Source organism: Homo sapiens, chromosome 12 (genome assembly GCF_000001405.40).
Source record: "Homo sapiens chromosome 12, GRCh38.p14 Primary Assembly".
NCBI classification, from domain to species: domain Eukaryota; kingdom Metazoa; phylum Chordata; class Mammalia; order Primates; family Hominidae; genus Homo; species Homo sapiens.
In genome coordinates this window covers 82515815-82536722 of record NC_000012.12, presented here as the reverse complement: position 1 = coordinate 82536722, position 20908 = coordinate 82515815, and the positions used below count along the sequence as shown (strand labels likewise).

Below are 20908 nucleotides of genomic sequence, written 5' to 3'. Positions count from 1 at the left end.
ACTAGAATGACTCATAGAATTCAGGAAAGGGCTATACTTATGCTTATGGTTTGATTATAGCAAAAGGATAAAATTAGAACCATCCAAAGGAAAAGATGCATAGAGCAAAATCTGGGACCCCAAGGGCTCCAAACATGAAGCTTCTGTATCCTCAGGGACACAGTACCCTATTGGCATCTGTACATGGCAATATATGCATGAAGTATTGCCACCCAGGCAGCTCACTTGAGCTTCAGTTTCCAGAGTTTTTATTGAGACTTCATTTCATAGGCGTGATTGATTGATTTGCTGCCCACATGGTTGAACTCAAAGTCCACTCCTCTCGAGAGGTCAGGGTAGTATAATGTGACTCAAAGCCCCGACTTCTATTCACATAATGATCTTTCTGGCATGGCCAGCCCCTATCCTGAGTTATCTTGTTAGCATAAACTATCTAGGGGCTCACCCTGAGTCACCTCATTACCATAAACTACAAATCTAGGGGATCCACTGTGAAAAACAAAGACATTCCTATCACTTAAGAATTTCCAGTTCAGATGTTTTCTCCCAAGAGTCAAGTGGAAACAAAGTCTAGCCCTCTCTTAAGGTAAAGTTAATTTATTTACTACTTACATGTGTAATGATAGTATCTATAAATTATTGAACATCTACAACATGGCAAGTACTTTACCTATTATCTCTAATTCTCATTAGAATTGGTATGAAGAATGTTATATATTACATTTTAAGATTAAGAAATAGTGATTTTGCTAAGGCCATAAGCTAGTAAACAGCTGACCTAGAATTAGCACCCTGGTCTGTCTAACTTCAAAGATTATGCTCTTTCTACTATTTTTAGCTTCTTTTTACTGTCAACAGATATGAACAAATACTATATGCTCCACCACTATCCCCACTCAGGCACCTCCTATGACTGTTCACTTATCCAAATGTTCAGTATCTTTTTGATTTTTTAAAAGTAAGAATTTTTAATTACATTCCTCAGATAAGAACTTAGAGTGAGAGTAACATTCTGCAAATTTTTGCAAGTGAGGAAAAATAAATATGTAGTAAAATGTAAGGGATATATATTTTATTGTTCTCCAATTTTAAGAGATAGAAAACATTTCCAATTGCTGGGCGAGGTGTCAGAACCCCGGCATCAGGAAGTGGTCGACTTGCCGGTTCGTAAGAATTTACCGACAACAGTATAGATTTGAAAAAGAAATGTTTAATAGGAAGAAAGAATGCTGCAAAGGGTGAAGTGGCACACCTCAGTTACAACCTCACCAACCTACCCCATAAGGTGGTCCTGCAGAATGAGGATGGGGACAAGGGCAAAGGCAAGGACAAACACCTCTAACTTTATTCCTGAAAAGAAGGAGGGGCAATTTCCTATAGAAAAATCAAAGTGCTGCTATTATAAAAAGGATGAATGTATAACTGATAGAAGAGAAAAGGGGAGAGAGGGAGAGGGAGAGAGAGAGAGAGAGAGAGAGAGAGAGAGGAGAGAGACAGAGAGAGAGAGAAATTCCATACCACCTCATTCACCAAATGGGACAATAACTCAAGCTGAAGCATTGGAGTAAGTGATGTGTTCCTGTACCTCCTCTCCCCTCTTGCATTCCCTTCATATGAAGCTTCCCTTTTTAAATGCTAGATTTCTGCCCCCAAATTTGAAATGATTTCTTTAAGGCAGGAAGCCTAGACCATTTCCCCACTGCTAGCTTGGGAAGTAAAGTCACTTGCCTTCTGCCGCATCTCTTCTTTGTTACTCAGTTTTACAAGCAGAGAGAAGTTGAAACTGCATTCGGTTACACAAGGACAATTAGTGATAGGGGTGTGCATATATACAAATAAGTCAAATAGGGACATTAATTATAATCTCCATGGAAAACTTGTTTAAAAGTCCTCACTTTTATGTACACAGAACAAATCGAAGGGAGGATTTCACGACATTAGGCTAGTGGTAAGTGGAGACACCTACTGAGGTAAATGAAGTTCTAAACCATTAAAATATACCAAAAACTTGAACTGGTTTATCTGATATTTCCACTGTGCTTTATGATACCAAATAGTGTCAACCGTGATAGCACTAAAAAGATAGCATCACACCACCATTCATATTATGTACAATCTAAATAAAAACAGAGTGCTTGCTGTGCAAAATGCAGCTTTAAGACATAGTCCCCCACAAAGATTGTTGGCCTAAGTTCTATATGGTGTACTGATTGCAAAAATATCCTAACTTCCAACCCTTTCTGTATCTACTCACTATGAGATGTGACATTCCAGTTCCTTCCATTAAGATATGGAGTGTGTTTCCCAGCCTTTAACTCTCTCTGGGGTAGCCTATGGCTTGTTTTGAACAAAAGAATATGTCACAAATAAAAGAAATTCAGTTCTGGTCCTAGACCTCAAATGGCCTTGTACACTTATAACTCACGCTCTTGGATTCTCGCCACCACCATGAAAACAAGTCTGGTTAGCCTGTTAAAGGGAAATGAGGAAAACTTGGTGGTGGGCAGAGTTTTCCCTGATGGGGCCATCCTAGATCACTTTACTTGGTTGGATGTAATATGCTATGCAGAAGCATAGCTGACCTTCCATTTGGCTATAGAAGCATAAGTGACGCAGTTGAGATCATCAGAGCCCAGCTCAGAACTTCAGAACCAACCAGTCAATCCGTATACTCATAAGTTCATGTTTATTATTGTATGTTCCACTGAAGTGCTGTGTTTTTTATGCAGCATTATTGTGACAATGGATAACTGATTTGCCCTTCTTCTGTATAACAGCCACTGAGAGGAAGGAATCAGAGACCTCTTCCTGATACGTCTTCCATATATTTATCTTGCAAATATCTACGGGTAAATAAGGAATGAGAATAAATGTATAATACTTGACCATTCTGTTTTCATGAAGCATTACGAGGTCTTAGACCACAACCAGAATTTGCATTCTGGTTGTGTATTTGCACAGGAAAGTGATTACAAAACCACAACCAGAACATAAATTCACTTGATAACCATCAAACTATCACTTCACTTTGTGTTTTCCTAGATCTAGACACTATGTTCAGTAAAAATACAAATACTCACTGGTAGTTATCTTTACAACATACAGCTATGAACAAATTTTTAAAAAGAAGCCTTCGCTAAAAATAATTTGTTTATATGCTAAGTATAAAAATGGCTCCTTTCCAACAGAGGAAATTGCCTAGATGTTATACTTCAGCCAAAAGTATCAGATCAAGCTTGGAAATTACTTTTCCTGAAATCAAGCAACCATATGAAGTACATAATTTGAAATCAGAGTTGAGAATGAACACTTTAAACTTTACAGATGATATTTATTAACACTTATTACATGCTAATGGAATATTCAGAACTTCACAAAAAACCCATGCCCTTATGCCTCATTTTTATAGATCTTGGAGGACTCACCTCCTTTTTTAGATACCTGCTAGAGTAAAAGTTGCTCAACACCTGGGTCTATGGCAGAATCAAATTGCATCCGTACTTATAATTCTTTTCTGGTTATATTTGCACAATTAAATCTCAGCAGAGATTTTTTTTTTATTATACTTTAAGTTCTAGGGTACATGTGCACAACGTGCAGGTTTGTTACATATGTATACATGTGCCATGTTGGTGTGCTGCACCATTAACTCCTCATTTACATTAGGTATATCTCCTAATGCTATCCCTCCCCCCTCCCCCCACCCCATGACAGGCCCCAGTGTGTGACATGCCCCTTCCTGTGTCCAGGTGTTCTCATTGTTCAATTCCCACTTACAAGTGAGAACACGCGTGTTTGGTTTTCTGTCCTTGCGATAGTTTGCTGAGAATGATGGTTTCCAGCCTCATCCATGTCCCTATGAAGGACATGAACTCATCATTTTTTATGGCTGCATAGTATTCCATGGTGTATATGAGCCACGTTTTCTTAATCCAGTCTATCATTGTTGGACATTTGGGTTGGTTCCAAGTCTTTGCTATTGTGAATAGTGCCACAATAAACATACATATGCATGTGTCTTTATAACAGCATGTTTTATAATCCTTTTGGTATATACCCAGTAATGGGATGGCTGGGTCAAATGGTATTTCTAGTTCTAGATCCTTGAGGAATTGCCACACTGTCTTCCACAATGGTTGAACTAGTTTACAGTCCCACCAACAGTGTAAAAGTGTTCCTATTTCCCCACATCCTCTCCAGCACCTGTTGTTTCCTGACTTTTTAATGATCGCCATTCTAACTGGTGTGAGATGGTATCTCATTGTGGTTTTGATTTGCATTTCAACCTAACAATGACTTTCTTCACAGAATTGGAAAAAACCACTTTAAAGTTCATATGGAACAAAAAAAGAGCCTGCATTGCCAAGACAATCCTAAGCCAAAAGAACAAAGCTGGAGGCATCATGCTACCTGACTTCAAACTATACTACAAGGCTACAGTAACCAAAACAGCATGTTACTGGTACCAAAACAGAGATATAGACCAATGGAACAGAACAGAGCCCTCAGAAATAATACCACACATCTACAACCATCTGATCTTTGACAAACCTGACAAAAACAATAAATGGGGAAAGAATTCCCTATTTAATAAATGGTGCTGGGAAAATTGGCTAGCCATATGTAGAAAGCTGAAACTGGATCCCTTCCTTACACCTTATACAAAAATTAATTCAAGATGGATTAAAGACTTAAATGTTAGACCTAAAATGGAGATTTTTAGTCTCTTCCATTCCCAAATCTCCTCTACCTCTATCTTATTCTTAAATAAGTTAATTCCCAAAGCAAATGAATAACCATTCCTCAAGTAAGTGAAAAGAATACACAGTTTCCAAATGCCTTTTACCTGTATACTTTATGGGATGCTATTTTTTTCCCTCTTTACTCAAAAGAATAGCAATTCTTTACCATAGGTTAATACATAATCATTTGAAATCAGATTATATTCTTGATGGGCTGAAATGAAAGAAGTCAGTTTCCTGAATACAAATAAATGGTATTTGTCTCTTTGAATACTGTGATAGGAAGCTTTTTAATTATAGGCTTTTTATTGAAGTTTGGCTTCCTTATCAAATATTTTTTTTCTACCAATTTCATAAAGCAACATGCCCAGAGGACTGAATTTATTAATCTATATTTTGATGGGGAGCTATTTAGTTTTGTCCACTTACTTGTTTTAAAGATGGGAAAGTAGTAGCAAAATACACCCTGTGTCCTAAAACGATGATGAAATTCGGGGGCTACTCCAGGTAAGAAGTGAGAATAAAAGACTGGCGTGCTGAAACATAACATTTAGGCAATTTTATAATAGGGCAATGGATACTTCCAAGAAAAAACTTATAATTGCTCTTTTAAAGGTATAAATATGCTGGGCACGGTGGCTCATGCCTGTAATCCTAGCACTTTGGGATGCCAAGGGTGGCTGATCACTTGAGGTCAGGAGTTTGAGACCAGCCTGGCCAACATGGTGAAACCCGTTTCTACTAAAAATACAAAAATTAGCCAGGCTTGGTGGCACGTGCCTGCATTCCCAGCTACTCAGGAGGCTGAGGCAGGAGAATCACTGGAACACAGGAGGTGGAGGCTGCAGTGAGCTGAGATTGTGCCATTGCACTCCAGCCTGGGTGACAGATCGAGATTCTGTCTTAAAATAAAATAAAATAAAGATATAAATATGACTCATGAGTACATAAATAAAAATTTGGGAAGGAGGCAATAATGAAAAGTAGATATACCCATTCGGTGTTGAAAAGGACCTCTTGGGTTGAGTAGGTTTTGCCTTCAGACAATTGATATCTAAAGGACTAGAATTATTGAATGGTAAAGGATGTTTTTAAGGAAGACCTAAAAGAAGAAAAGGACAAAAAGAATATCTAGGCTAGGTCGAAGAAATCAGAGCCTTGAGAACAATTGAGAACTGGACCTTAAAGTGTCAGCCAGAAAGATGAGACAAGGAGAAAAGACTGCACCAGGGCCTGGCAGGGGGATAGTAGTAAAGATAGTCAGGTTTGTGGGTAACTTGAAGAGGCAGAGAAGATAAGTCAGGTAAGGATATGTGTGTGGCATTACCTGGGTAGGATGAGGCTTCTACAGAAACCCGAAAGCAGGCCACTAAGTCAATACTTGGACCTAGAACGGGAATTAGAAGTTGCACAGTCTATCCAAAGTCCCTTAATTTTATTTGCAGAGTAAAGGGGAACAGATAAATAAAATATGAAATAATTCAATAGTGTGTCAAAAGACATAGTATTAACCAGTTTTGTAGCTTTGAATAACTGTTTGGGTGTACTTTTCTTCCTTACAAAGTGAAAATAGAAATATAAAATTTTATAAAATGAAAAGTTTGCACAAACTGATTCCTTATGTTCAGCTCTCATCTTCTAAGAATCTGACACGCAAAATCCTAGTTGTATTTAATTTGCCCATGTTTCTGAATGGAAGAGGGGATGAATATCACTCTAGGGGGTGATAATTGGCAACGTCCAGAGACATTTTTGTTTGCCACAACTGGGGCAATGTTACTGGAATCTAGTGGGTACAAGTCAGGGTTGCTACTGAATATAAACAGGCAAGACTCCCACAACAGATAATTATCTAGCCCAAACATCAATAGTGCTGAGGTTGTGAAACTCTGCTACAGGTAAGAATTTCTTTACATCCAATTCGTGTTTACTGATCAGTTCTGCAGATCCTTTAGTAGAAAATATTGGGGAAAGCATTTCATTAGAGAGAATAGGCATAATTCAGAGACTTCTGAAGGAGTAAATCTTAACCTTGAAAATATCCAGTAATGAGGTAAGAGTGTTATGATCATGTTTATCATACAATAGCTATGGAAAAACTGTTGTCTCCTTACTTCTCTAATGAAGGCCTATTCAGCAATGGGAGTACATTCTGGAAGGCAGGAGAGATGGATTCCAGTGTGTTTGATTTTCTTCTGTCATTAGCCAGTTGTAATTGGGGTAGTAACTTAGTCACTGAGATTTGGTAGTTAGGAATACAGGAATCTACTTTTCCTTCTATCAAAGTTGCTGTGAAAATCAAGTGAAAGGACATCTGAAAGTGGTTTGAAAAGTTAAAAGTGCTATAAAGATATAAAAATTAATTCATGCTTATGTTTCACAATATTTACAACATTTTATCTAGCTTAACCTTGCTACGTATTAAAATGAACTCAACAAAGTTTGCATTCCAGTATGAGAAAGTATAGCATTATATTTTATGTAGAAAATGAAACCAAGTAAATTTCTGCTCACTAAGAGTTGAGAGTCTTGTTTGGTACATGTATCAGTTATCTATGACCACAATAAGCCTGCATAATAAACAATTGCAAAACCCTAAGTGTCATACAACATTAAGCATTTATTGTTCACATGTCTAGAATCAGCTGGGGTTTAGCCAGGCAGCTCCATCTTGGCTTAGATCACTCATCTATCTGGAGGATGGCTGGCTGTCAACTAACCGAGGATGCCTTGGCTGAGGCAACTGGCTTTGCTTTGTATGTCTTTCATCCTTCTGTGGACTAGACATAAGCATGTTCTTATGTTGAAAGTAGAGGGCAAGCTTCTGCTTACATCTTATCTGCTAATATTCCTTTGATCAAAGCAAGTCACCTGGCTGAGACCAGAGTAAAAGGCTGGGGGAACACTGCTATATGCATAGGGAGTGGACACTGAGTTACATGGCAAAGAATGTGGATATAAGGAATGATTAAGGTTTTGGCCACTGGTGCAATATACTTTAGGAAATAGTCACTAGATTATAAGGTGTCACACCCAGACCTGATGGAGGGGATAGGTATCACCCAGATTTTCTGGACTTTTAGTTGGATCAAGTTACTAAATATAACTCTGAGTTGACTTCTTTGTAGAGATAATACATGTGTAAGAAAAAGGATGTGCACAAATGTTCAGTTGTCAGAGGGAGGACAGTGGTAAAGAAAGCAACTGAGTATCAATATTTGTGCTTTCTTTTCTCTCTCAATCCATGCGGGGTCATCTAACTAGCTTTCTGCAATGGAATATAAGCAGAAGTAAGTGTGTTATTTCCAGTTTAAGAATTAGATGTTCATTCTCTTTTGTTTCTTTCCCTTTCTGCTGGGTGGAGGCAAAGTACTTCAATGGCCTAGGAGATGGCAGAGCCACAAAACGGATAAAGACCAGGGTCCCTGAATCTCCGTATAAAGGAGAGTCATCCACCAACCATTAATAACAGCAAGGAATAGTGCATGAGTTTGAAATAAACAGTTGTGCTAATCCACTCTAATGTTTAGATGTATTTGTTAACGTAGCATTATCCTAATGCAACATAATTTTATCAATAACACTGTTATCAATTTAAAACAAAAAACCCTAAAAATTACACATGATCTTTCTTAGAAATCTAGTAAAGCTTCCCCCTCAAACCTGAGTATTCAAATTCCTAACACATTCTTACCAAGATTCTCACCACATCTCACTAATTATCCATCCATGCAAACATTTCTAGTGATGGTAAGCTCACCATCTGAACTTCTGAAATAACCATTTCTATTTTTAAAAACATTTTGTTTATTGGAAAAGCCTTCCGTTGTTTGAATCACCTATCACTACCCATTTGCACATTCTAAATTATCAAGCATACGTTTATTCCCTCTTCTAAAGGGAAGATATTTTCTTATGTCAAGATATACATAGATTCTCCCTCCAAACTATAAAAAAGAAGTCTTTTCTTCTCAGTTTAATTATGACTTAAAGAAAATAAGTTAAACTTTAAACTTCTTTTGGGAAACCAAGTAGCAGTAATTATATACTAAAGCTTCAATGTGCTCTTTTCAGTTGTGATAACCACAGGCCACTTTAACACTATGACAGGTTAATTTTCACTGTGCAGTAGATACAACTAATAAATTAAGAAAAATTAAAACACAGAATGAAAGTCACAGAATATGTGAGGTCAAAACCAAAAATTTGAGATGCTTAGGGGTTCCAAACACATACTAGTAGAAAGAGACCACAATGCCATTTTACAAATGTATACATTTTATTATGTTCAGATTTGATAACATTTTGAGGTTTCTTTCCAATGTTTTGACATGAAGAATAATTTGTATTAACTAAGTCAACTAGAAGAATTTTTATGTAATTTCTAAGAAATTCTGTTTTTTGAAGTTCTGTAACACCAACATCTTGGATCCATTATTTTTATTTATTCTTTTTTCCTCTCACTTGAATATTGGTTCAATTATGCAAAGCTTTCAAGAGGAAAGCTTCATATTGAAAACTTCTGACCTCTGTGCATTTTTACTAACCAAACATTCATAATTTTTTTTCCTCTCCCTGACTTGCTACAATGTGGTAGGTGGCGACCTCTACTGGTTGTCAGATAATGTAGCCAAAGCCGCATTGACAATTTCAGCAAATAACCTCTTCTCTAAGATGCGTAGGAGAAAATAACCAGAATGCATTGAAAATTAAATGTTTAAGAAAAATAACAAACTCTTGCTGGTTTTAACGCGGTTTGAAGGTCTACATTTAATAATTTCTTTAGTTCAAGAAATGTGTTTTGGTTTTTACCCTCATCTGTATTTATTTTTTGAGAATAAAATCATGGTTGCTATAGAGTCATCAGAACACGTATTTCAGATTTCAAAAGCAATGCCTGAAGTTGCAGTTATGCAAAGTAAATGAATTCTAGAGACCTTCGGTATATCATAGTGCCTATAGTTAACAATATGGTATTGTGTACTTAAAAATCTAAGAGGGTACATCTCATAGTAAGTATTCATTTCACAGTAAAATAAAAATAAACAATGTTTGGTAGGATTTTACTTATAATCAAAAGAAACACAAACCTGTTGTAAAAACATTCAAATACTCCAGAAGTGATATCAGTTAAAAAAAAAAGTGATTTTCTCCATCAGCACTTCCCCTAGTCTAACTTTACAGGATTCAGATTAATTTAACATGGGCAAAATTATTTTGATGTGTGTTTTACCTGTTTTAGGTCTTAGGCTAAATTCAGATGGATGGAATTTAAGCACGCATTAAGTTTCAGAGTAACAGGGTAAGGAGTAAAAAAATTAAAGACACCTCCTTCCATGCCCTTAAGGAATTGAATGCTGGAGAAGATTGCCTGATAGTTTTGCCAGAGGGAAGACTTAACTAATTCTTTCTCCTAAAAATGTCAGAGTATTAATATTAATTTTCAAAAGGATAGGAAAAAGAACAAAGTGTACTTGAATGTAAGTATCCTAAATCTAGGTTTTCCAAGTTCAGTAGAGGGAAAAAACTAAATTTTTAGCCTTTCATTTTCAGTGGAAAGCTGCTCAACCAGCAAAAATAAAACTAAGTTCTTTTTTCATAACAGACCAATCTCTTTTTAAAATATCAAAATCGCTGAATAAAAGGATTCTTAAGTGTCTGCTCAATGACCATTTATTATTAGACATTTAACTCAAGACGAAGCCAACAAAACAAGGAATCTTAGTAGTTTCATGGAGTTCATGGTTTGGTTTAACCTGTAAAAAAAAAATCTGATACTTAAGAGGTTTTTCATTCAGAATGAAAAAAAGGAAAGCTGGAATTAAGAGTGATCTCCACTTGTAAATTAGAAGTCTTGCTAACGTTTCAAAACATGTTAATATTTACGATACGAACTACTCAAAGCTTGGTAAAATCCTAGCTATGCCGGGTCCTTGAATGTAGTAAGAAAAAAATGAAATTTTATTCCAAAGAATTTATTAAATGGGTACAAAATAAAACACCATTTTCCAACAAATGCAAATATTCACTGAAAGATTTAATCATTTTGTCCTAAATTACAGGTATTTGCTGTTTAGTTAGACATTGGAAGCTTTTGAGTTAGATTTTAATGGCTGCTTAGGGTAGAGAACTAGCTCATGTTAACAAAGTGAATCAGGCTAGAGGTTTTCGGTTGTGGTTCTGCAGACCAGCGCTGGTTTGCCACAATATTTTCACTGGTCCACAGTGAAATTAGAACACTATGATAAATGAAGATAATTTTTCATGAAGCTAAGTACATTAAATTTAAAGACCTGCACTTTGAACTTCAAACTTTTGTACTGTCAATCATCTTTATGAAAAGAAAAATAGAGTAATATTAAAATTGATTTAAAAAATTAAAATTAAAACTGATCTTATTCAGCAAAAGAAAAACTTGACAATGTTTTCAGTCCCATCTCTCATACTTTTGAAATTTTACTTATTTTTAAAATCCTAAAGCCCATAGCCACTGCATTTCAGTCTTCCTCTCTTCTTTCAAAACAAAGATCTTACTCTAATATGTAAGGGATGAATCTTCTGATCTGAGCTTACTCAGGTTGTAAGTACAGTTGGCACAGTACTTAGAAAATTCCTCATTTAACCTGAGGAAAACTGCAAAAAGAACATGTGACTTACCATAATTCCAAAATAGTTATAGAACTGCATTTTGTGGAAAGGATTTTTTTTTTCCTTATAGTTTTTGAGAAACCCTGTGAAATCCACGTGTATATCAGTGGGATTTATCTTTCAGAATTGGGAAGATATGTTTTGTCAGTCATAAATGAACTGTAATCCCCATAGATTCAGGTTTAATTCAAAAACATTCTCTCTAGAGCTGCTAAATTTGGCAACTCACATTCTCCCCTCCATATGCTATCCTTAGAGAATTCTACATATATTGTCCATAATGGTTTCTACTTAGGATGTCTGGAAAAGTAGATATTATGGTCACAGAAGGGCCATTAAAGGGAATTTGAAAACAGATCCATTAAGTTGAAGTATTCAATTGTCAGAGTCTTCAACTTGGATGGACTATGCTAATTGATATTCAAGGAATAACTCCATCTGCCCGCTGCTTATATCATAGCTTCTAACTACTCATGCTTGTATCACTCACTAACCTGGTTTGGTATTCTCCCTGGAGAGAGAATTAGCAGAACACGGTGTGCATAAAAAGTACAGCAGATAAATAATGAATTGTCCCTAAATGTGGACTTCATTTCCATTCCATTCTGTTATTCAGAGCCTTCACTATTTCAAATAGCCATCTTTTTTTCATTAATTACATCAGCTCTGCTTTTGTTATGTCTTGTTGGAAAAGAGAAGAAAGTTTCCATTATTTCTCTTCTAGACTGTGGAATGAAGCAGATGGGGCATTTTGCAAACATTCAATCATATCTTGAAATCTCTGGTCAGTTTTTGAGTGGATTTAAAAAATACTTTTCTGTATTCTTACGCTAGCTTTCCCCAAATTCGTGTTTTTTTCTCTCTCTGCTCGTCTTTTGTGGCCTTATCCTTTTCCCCCAACCTGGCTCTCATTTTCAAACAGTTCTCAAGAGAAACAAAAGTTTCCCAAAGGTTCCCCAACTTGGCTCTGTCTCAGCAATGCAGAACTATTTTTGAGTTTCTCTTTTTTAATTCTAAAGTTGCTTTTCTTCTGTTTAAGTGATTTTTAGGAAACAGTCTCTCCTCTGGTGTGTATACTAGCTGCTCTCTGTTGGACAGCATTTCTGAGGTCCTTGTCATGTGGCACTCAGCTAAAGATTAACTTGTAGTTTTAGCTGCAAGTTTTAGATTAACCTTTCATGGGATGGTCGTCTCAGGAATAGCACAGTGATAATATTTGCTTGAATATGGGCAGTACGTACCCACTTGTTGTCTCATTTGACTCTCACAAGGATCCTGCAAAGCAAAGAAGACTGTTATTATTTTTCCCGTTTTACAGATGAGGAAAATATGGCCCTAAGGAGTTATGTGACTGGTCTAGCAAACTCTGTGTACCAGTAAATTGTGGAACAGAAAGAGGAATGCTGCTCTTCTGTCTTTGGTGTTTTCTCCCAGTGTTTTTCCTGGGACCTCCTTCTTTATCTTTAAGATGAGAAAACAACAACACAAACTGTCTTACTGTTGTTAAGAGGAAAGAGTGAAAGAATTTGGATAAAACAGATTAATGCATGGCAAGAATAATGCATGGCACTTAGTGAATGCTCACCAAATGTTAATTATTATACTTTATGTGTCATATAAATATAACAGATAAATTGGCAGAATGACATACAAATGTAGCTGCTTTCCTTCTGCTCACAAAAGGATATAACAATCTACAAGGGAGAGCTTTTAAGTAGCCATTGACTAAAACCCAAGGATTTTAATATTATGTTTGGTTCCAGTTGAACAGCAGCAACACCCTCCCCACACTGGCTTTACCCTCCCTTTTCTCAAGGAAAAGTAATAGATAGATTGATTCTTCTATACAATGAAACCAGCTAATCCAAACAATATGATGCACAGTCTGGAGAAAAGATTCTGGATTCGTATCATGTCTCAAATTTACAAGCTGTATGGCCACGCTTTGGGCAAATATTTAATCTCTCTGTGCCTCAGTTTTCCTATCTGTAAAATGTGGCTATTAAGGCCTATCAAATAGGTGGTTAAGAGGACTATAATAGGAATCAATATGAGTATAAAGGATGTTTAATTGGAATTCTTGACCATGGCACCAAGATATGATGGATATTGGATATAACAGACGCTCAAAATGAAATTTACAAAGAAAATATTTGGGTCCGTTGCTCTCATGAGCCCCATCCCCAGCTGTCTTTTACCCAGAGCAGGGATATGAAAGGACCAGAAGAGTGGGATTTGGGGAGGATTTATCAAAAGACTTTCTTAGTTGACAGCTGGAGGGGTGTAGTGGTGCTGTCTGCCAGTGCTAGGTCAGGTGAGAGGGGCTTGGCAAGAGCACTGAGAGTATAACAGGTGTTCCTGGGCCTGTGGACTGAGCCCTACCTCAGGATTGAACAAGTAAAACAGCTGATAACAACAGAGCTGAGAGCTGCTCCTGAGAAGTGACTGCACCTGTCTTGTCCAATAGCAGGTTAAAGGTAATTGGATCTCAGGGGCTAGAACTGGTTGTGATGTCAACCTGGAGTTGTTCTTAAAGGGATCCCCTCAAGTGCATGGTCTGCCAGGGAAAGGAGACTGCAGATACAGCGACTATACCAGCCAGGGCAGGAATGCTGGGGAGGACGATGGAGACCCACCAATGCTAAAGGCCTGCCCATGAAAAGGGAGTTACCATTGGAAAGTCTTGAGGGAGTTCCCAGAAATTAAAAGGATCCCATGAGAGAACATGTCAGCATCAAATAACTGCTCCACTCCTTCAGTAGCTCCCTGGAGAATATATCACCGTCTTACGAAAGTACCCATCGGGGAGAAATGTCCTTTGTACCTTACGTCTTTCCATGACCCTTCTTTCTTTTCTGGCTCTCTCCCACTGCAAACAGCTTAACAAAGACAGGCTCTGGCCAATGGAAGTGAGGAGGCAGGAGTGTTTCCACTTTAAATCAGGCTCAAACTTTTGATTATAACACAATCATGGATGTTTTACATTATAAATTAGATTGTGTTTGTGATTTAAAGTGACTGCAGGGCTACCATCTAAGTATAACCAGTGATGTTAGAGGCTGGCTCAAGATTTCATCCAAATAGGGAAAAGAATAGCTCCACCGCACTTTACTAAAGAGAAAAAGGGACAAAAATAGGCTATTTTGTAATAGTTTTCTATAATGCATGTTATATTAGATTTGCGGGCAACTCGGACCCCTCAAGTTATTTTCATAGGAAGTATCCTCACAAGTCAAGTCTTCCTCATCCTGCACTTACTTGTACAGGATGGGATAATTTTTTTTTTTTTTTTTTGAGACAGAGTCTCACTCTGTTGCCCAGGCTGGAGTGCAGTGGTGTGATCTCGGCTCACTGCAAGCTCCGCCTCCTGGGTTCATGCCATTCTCCTGCCTCAGCCTCCTGAGTAGCTGGGACTACAGGCACTCGCCACCATGCCTGGCTAACTTTTTGTATTTTTAGTAGAGATGGGGTTTCACCATGTTAGTCAGGATGGTCTCCATCTCCTGACTTCGTGATCTGCCCACCTTGGCCTCCCAAAGTGCTGGGATTACAGGCGTGAGCCACCATGCCCGGCCAGGATGGGATAAAATTTTAAAATAACCATTTTTTATCTCTCTCTTCACCTTTAGTACTTCTCAGTGGGGATATTCCTTTTGCTTTGTCCCATGGTTTCTAATTAAGATTAATTAGATGAAGAACCTTGAATGTAGTATTTTCTCAAAGCTATTGGTATTCTTTCTTCTTTAATCTGCAGGCCTATGTTCTTACCTAAAAAATAAAAATTTTGAATGAAAAAAATTAAGAAAATTTAAAATATTTAAAATCTCTCACCAAATATAGAATAGACAACCATCAAGTTTCTTCTTGATAACTTTAAGTAGTAACTTACTACTTCTCTAAACTATTGGAAACCTACAGATGCCAGAAAGTTATTTCTTAAACTAAAACAAAATCCATATTCATATAATTTTTATCAATTTGTTCATCTTTTACTCCCCAGAAGAATATATCTCATGCTTAACTGACATTCTATGGTTTTCAGTGTTATCTGTCTTCTACATAGTATTGGAAGACAGTTACATCTTCCTTAGTTGGACACAAGGCCCACATGTAACCTAAGAGCTGAGCCCATTCAGCTGTCATAACACGTATATTAGGTTTGTGTTCAACTCAAACCTATCAAGTTATTTTTATAAGAAAAATCCCACAAGTCAAGTCTTGCTCCTCCTGTACTTATACAGTTGGTTATTGAAAAATAAAAGAAAAAAATGTATCATTTTTGACTCTATTTTGTTGGTTTTATTCTACTGTTCCAGGCTTTTACAAATATTTGGAATCCCCTTTCTGATTCAGAAAAACTGATATTTATTTTTGTATTTATGTATTATTTACTTTTTATTTTAGAGACAGGATCTCGCTGTGTCACCTAGGCTACAGTGCAGTGGTATGATCTCAGCTCATTGAAGCCTTAACCTTCTGGGCTCAAGGAATCCTCCCACCTTAGCCTCCTGAGTAACTGGAACTACAGGTACATGCTACCACATCTGGCTAGTTTAAAAAAAATTGTAGAGACAGGGTCTCACTTGTTGCCCAGGATGGTCTCAAACTCTTGGGCTCAAACAATCCTTCACCTTGGCCTCCCAAAGTGCTGAGATTACAGGCATGGACCACTGCACTCAGCCTAATTTTTATAGTTATTTTTTTCTCTATCCCATCTTTTACCTTTGATAGTTTGTAGGAATTCTTTTAATTCCTCTTTTAAGCCACTGATAAAAAATTTGAACAGGAAAATTATTCTTCAATGAACATCCTTGGATATGTTGATTCTTGTGTATTCTGAGTGGATTTCACCAAGGCATATACTCCCAAAATGAATTACTGTATAAGTTGTGAACATTTTAATTTTTATTAGACATTGATAAATTTCACATTCTTTAAATAAGTTAAATATAAGCAGTATGGTTGCAATTGACTTTTCTTATATGAAGGAGTTGCTGTTCTAAAAATCACTGTCTGTAATGAATGTGCATAATGTGGTCCATGTAATGCATGTGACAATGGCCCATAGTGCCCAACGTGGGAGGAGCAGACTTCAAGGCGCAGATTCCCATGGTGAACCAGTGGTGTCATCATCAGATTGGCTTGTGGCATGATTTTGGCTCTGGTCTGACCTTGTTTCTTTTCACATTCTAAGCCTGGTGTTTCTATCATAAGGTCCTTCTATGAGCTAGCCTTTATTCTTTTAATAAACTCAATTTCTGTTTAAATATGAGGACAGAATTATTTTCTGTTGCTTCCAGCTAAGAGAATATTGTAACTATTTTCCCATCACTACTTAACCTCTCATTTCCATTTTTTCTCCTGACAGTTTCAGGGCAAGACTAACACCTCTGTAAATACCTATATTCATAGATGTTTAGGCACTCCTATGAGCTGAAGACCACTGTCCCAAATAAAACACACTCAGTTCCCTTTTCTTTGAAGGCCCCTGCAGTTTCTTCAGCTAGGAATTTAGCAGTGATGAAAAATGGGGATTCACAGTTCTTCTGAGGTCTACATTCTTTCTTTTTCTTGTTTCTTACTTCTTGTTTCAGTTAGATTTTTTTTCCATGTTTATTGCTTACACAAGCAAAAAACCAGAAATACAGAAATAAGATATCAATGGCAGTACTAAAATTAGCAAATTTGGCAATGATCAATACTTGGAGGAGAGAAGGCTGCACTGTAGCTCTTTTCCTGTTGGGAGTGCACATTATTGGCACCAAAGCTGACCATGAATTCATGAAAATTCACAAAATACAGTGATAAGAATGCATTGTGTGCTTGTTGTCCTGCTGGCCTTAAACTCCTTTCTGGCTCCTTTAGATTGCTTTGCATATTTATACTGTAATCCATTGATTATAGATCTTATAATTTGCTTCTCAAAGAATAATTTTCTTCTACTCCTTAATTTTTATGGGAAGGAATATTATCATTTTTGCTACATGGGTGCATTTGAGGAGCATTTTAAACAGATATTAAATAGTGGTTGAATTGGGACTCTTTCATTAGTTTCTAATAACCTATACCTGAAAAGGCTGAACCTCAGCATTAAGCTACTAAAAAAAAAAAAAAGTATCTTAGGGTCTTTGGTTTCTGTAGAAAGAGTTCTGAGGAAAAGCATCTAACCAGAATATCTGAAGGTAAGCCTTTGGCATAGTTTTTTGTTTTTGTTTTTGTTTTAACAAACTCCTGGATCATTTCAGCACATAGCTGTGATTGGGAATTAATGGCCTAGTAGGTTTGTAACACTGGTGGACTTGAGTGATATTGCCTTCTTGGCATCCCTTTCTCTCTCTCTCTCTCTCCCGGTACAGTCATTCTGATTTCCTTTTGGGAAGCCTCCCCACCCCATCCTCAGCCTGTTGTTCAGAAGGGGCTGACCAGAGGCTAGGGGTTGCAGGGATAGATAACTAGCCCAGGCTTAGCCAATCACTGCATACATTGCCTTTGCCATAATAATTGGTTGAAGGATAAATTTCTGACCTAAGCTAGGCCAGTAAGGCTCAACTGCAACTCTTTTTTAGAACTATGGGGAAAGAAGCATTCCTCCCCCTGAGATTTCACTATAATTATGCACTAGGATCCCATGTTAACGGGGAGTGTTTAATCCCAGGACTTTTCAGAGCCATGATATTTATATGGACAGGAGCCAGGGAAATACCGGGTAGAAGAGGGCAGTCCCTGGTGAGGGCCATACCTTCAAGCCTGGGACTGTGGCCCAAAGTGAGAACATGTATTCCTGTTTTTCCACTCAAATGTTGCCTTATGGCCTTCCCCACACCCCATCCTGTACCCATAAAAACCCCAGGCTTCACTGGCAGAACTGCAGTGTGGCAGAGCGGCAGAGAGGGAGAGATGAGGCAGGCAGACATCAGAGAGAAGCAGCTTGACTTCAAAGGCACAGCTTGATGGCAGGACTTTGGAGAAGAGTTTGGCCGGGGACAGAGGAACTCCAGGGGAAGACTACCTTCCCACTCGATCCACTTTCCAGCTCCCCATCCTGCTGAGAGCCACTTCCACCACTCAATAAAATCCTCCACATTCTCCACTCTTCAATTTGTTTGTGCAACCTGATTCTTCCTGGATACCAGACAAGAACTCAGGTACCAAGAGGGTACATGCAAAAGGATATCACCCTGACCCTCCACTGAGCTATTAAACACTTAAGCCATCCGTGAATGGCAAAGCTAAAAGAGCACATTGTAACACACCCACTCTGGGGCTCCGCAGGTTACAGGTACCCTACAAGATACCACCATGGGGCAGCACAGAGTTATACTCCTGTTGGCACCCAGGAGCACTCGATCTGGCCTCTGCACCTGCTCACCTGCATGCTCCCCCTCCTGTGAAGGCTTGAGAGCTGCAGGCTGAGTAAATGAGCCAACTTCTTCATGAGTCCTGTGAAGAGATCAAGGGAACTATCTCGTTTCAGTGAGTCTTTGTCTATTCGGGCTGCCATAACAAAATACCATAGACTGGATGGCTTAAACAACATAAATTTATTTCTCAACGTAATGGAGGCTGGAAATTTCCTATCATGATGCTGGGAAGGTAGGTTTAATTCTGAGGCCTCTTCTCTTGCCTTGTGGGAAGCTGCCATCTTACTGTGTGCTCACATGCCCTCTTCTTTGTGCATGCTGAGGCAGAGAGAGAGAGTGAACCAAAGTGCAAGCACTTAAGTGAGCCTTCTGGTGTTAGTTCTTATAAGAACACTAATCGTGTCATATTGGGTCTCTACCCTTATTACCTCATTTAACCTTAATTACCTATTTATAAGCCTTATCTACAAATACTGTCTCATTAGGGGTTAGGGCTTCAGCATATAAATTTGGAGGGGACACCATTCAGTCCATAGCATGATAATTCCTTCCCCTCTTTTCTTCCTTAAGGCATTGCACTGAATTTTCATCACTAAATGTGACAGAGGTCCAAATGCTATAGCCACAGTGGTTGACCACCATACTTAATTCATTCTATTCTGTCCTCATGTGTCTGTTTGCCTTCCTAAGCAGACCAGTGCAATGGGACCAACAAGCCATTAGGATGGAAAAGGCCATCTAGTGGTGGTTCAAAGCAAGGCCTCTGGAGTCTGGCTGCCTGGGTTTGAATTCCAGCTCTGCCATTTACTTAGCCTCCCTCTGTGGGAATGAACCCACCTGCAAAATGGTATGTACACAAGTCTCTACCTTGGGAATCATTATGATGATCTGATGCATTAATATTTATAAAGTACCTAGAATAATTGCTGGCACTCTGCTGTAATAATTTTGCTCCACAGATCTGAGTTAAATCTCTACTTGTGCTCTTATTAGTATATGACTACGTAAGCTAACTTTTCCAAGCTTCTTTTTTCTACTGAGTAAAAAGAGGATGAGTAATCATTTTGGGCAATAGTACATATAAGTTTACTAGCACACGTCCTGCCATAGTAAACACTCAATAAATGATGTGTGAACAAATGAACAAATTGCAATTAGAGAATGAAGTTCTCCTTTTTGTCTAAAAATTTTTACTTTAAATTTAAGCATATTTAATTTTGGGTGCTTAATAGATTTATTAGATTGATCTATTTTTTTTTTACTTTAGAAAGCATGAGTCACCTAATGCTCATATATAATTACATAGAAATGACAATTGTGCCCAAATGAGACAGAATAATTTAGTTGAGCATTTGATAATCGTGCTCTCCACAACTCTTATGAAATCTGTTGTTAAAAAATATGAGGGCAAAGTGAAAGCCTAACATGAGCTGTGTAATTAGCAATTATTTGGATGGATTAGTTTTCTGAGAAACTTTCTGTAATGGAACAAATCATGGCCTATGAAAATTATACTCTGTGTATTGAAAATAAAGACCAAAATAGCAGAATGGATTGCCTCTTTCTGACTTATTTAGTCAAAGCAAGGCTTATTCTAAGTCAGGACTCTACTTGACGTTAGATGAGCTTTATATAAATATAACTCCCCTTTAGCAAAAAAATATGATGATGAAGTTATTTTGCAGGTGAATTCACATTATAAGTAAGTTAAATCTTTCTACTTTGCCTGAGTCTGTGAGTGTTAGAAGCTGAGTTCTCTTTCTTATCAGGGAAATGGATGTGTGTACCAAATAGACTATAAAGGATGAGGTTTTGTTCCCAATTGCACTTACAATTTTTCTATTTAAAAATAATTACTATAAAAGTTAATAAAGATGTGTTTAAAGAAAAAGTTAAATGCTTTTTTATCCCCCACCACTTCCCTATCTGGTCTTAACTGCCCGAGGTAACCAATATTATCCATGTATTTCCTTTTTTCATGAAAATGAAATTGTATTGTAAACTTTATTCTGCATTTTGCTTTTTTTGTTGTTGTTGTTATCAGTATGTGATGGACATCCCTCCCCGAGGGCAGTACATGTAGCTAAACACATTCTTTTACATACAGACATCATAATTTATGTAATTATGCACCACAATTTATTCACCAGGACAAAG

The 20908-nt window shown here is 37.5% G+C and overlaps 1 annotated feature.

The window, feature by feature from the left end:
• Nucleotides 3712-3916: a silencer, noted in NCBI's record as "fragment chr12:82926586-82926790 (GRCh37/hg19 assembly coordinates)". NCBI's record gives its function as "represses an EF-1alpha promoter that drives an FKBP-Casp9 reporter gene in an ReSE screen in HepG2 liver carcinoma cells {active_cell/tissue: HepG2}" and the evidence as "EXISTENCE:reporter gene assay evidence [ECO:0000049][PMID:32094911]".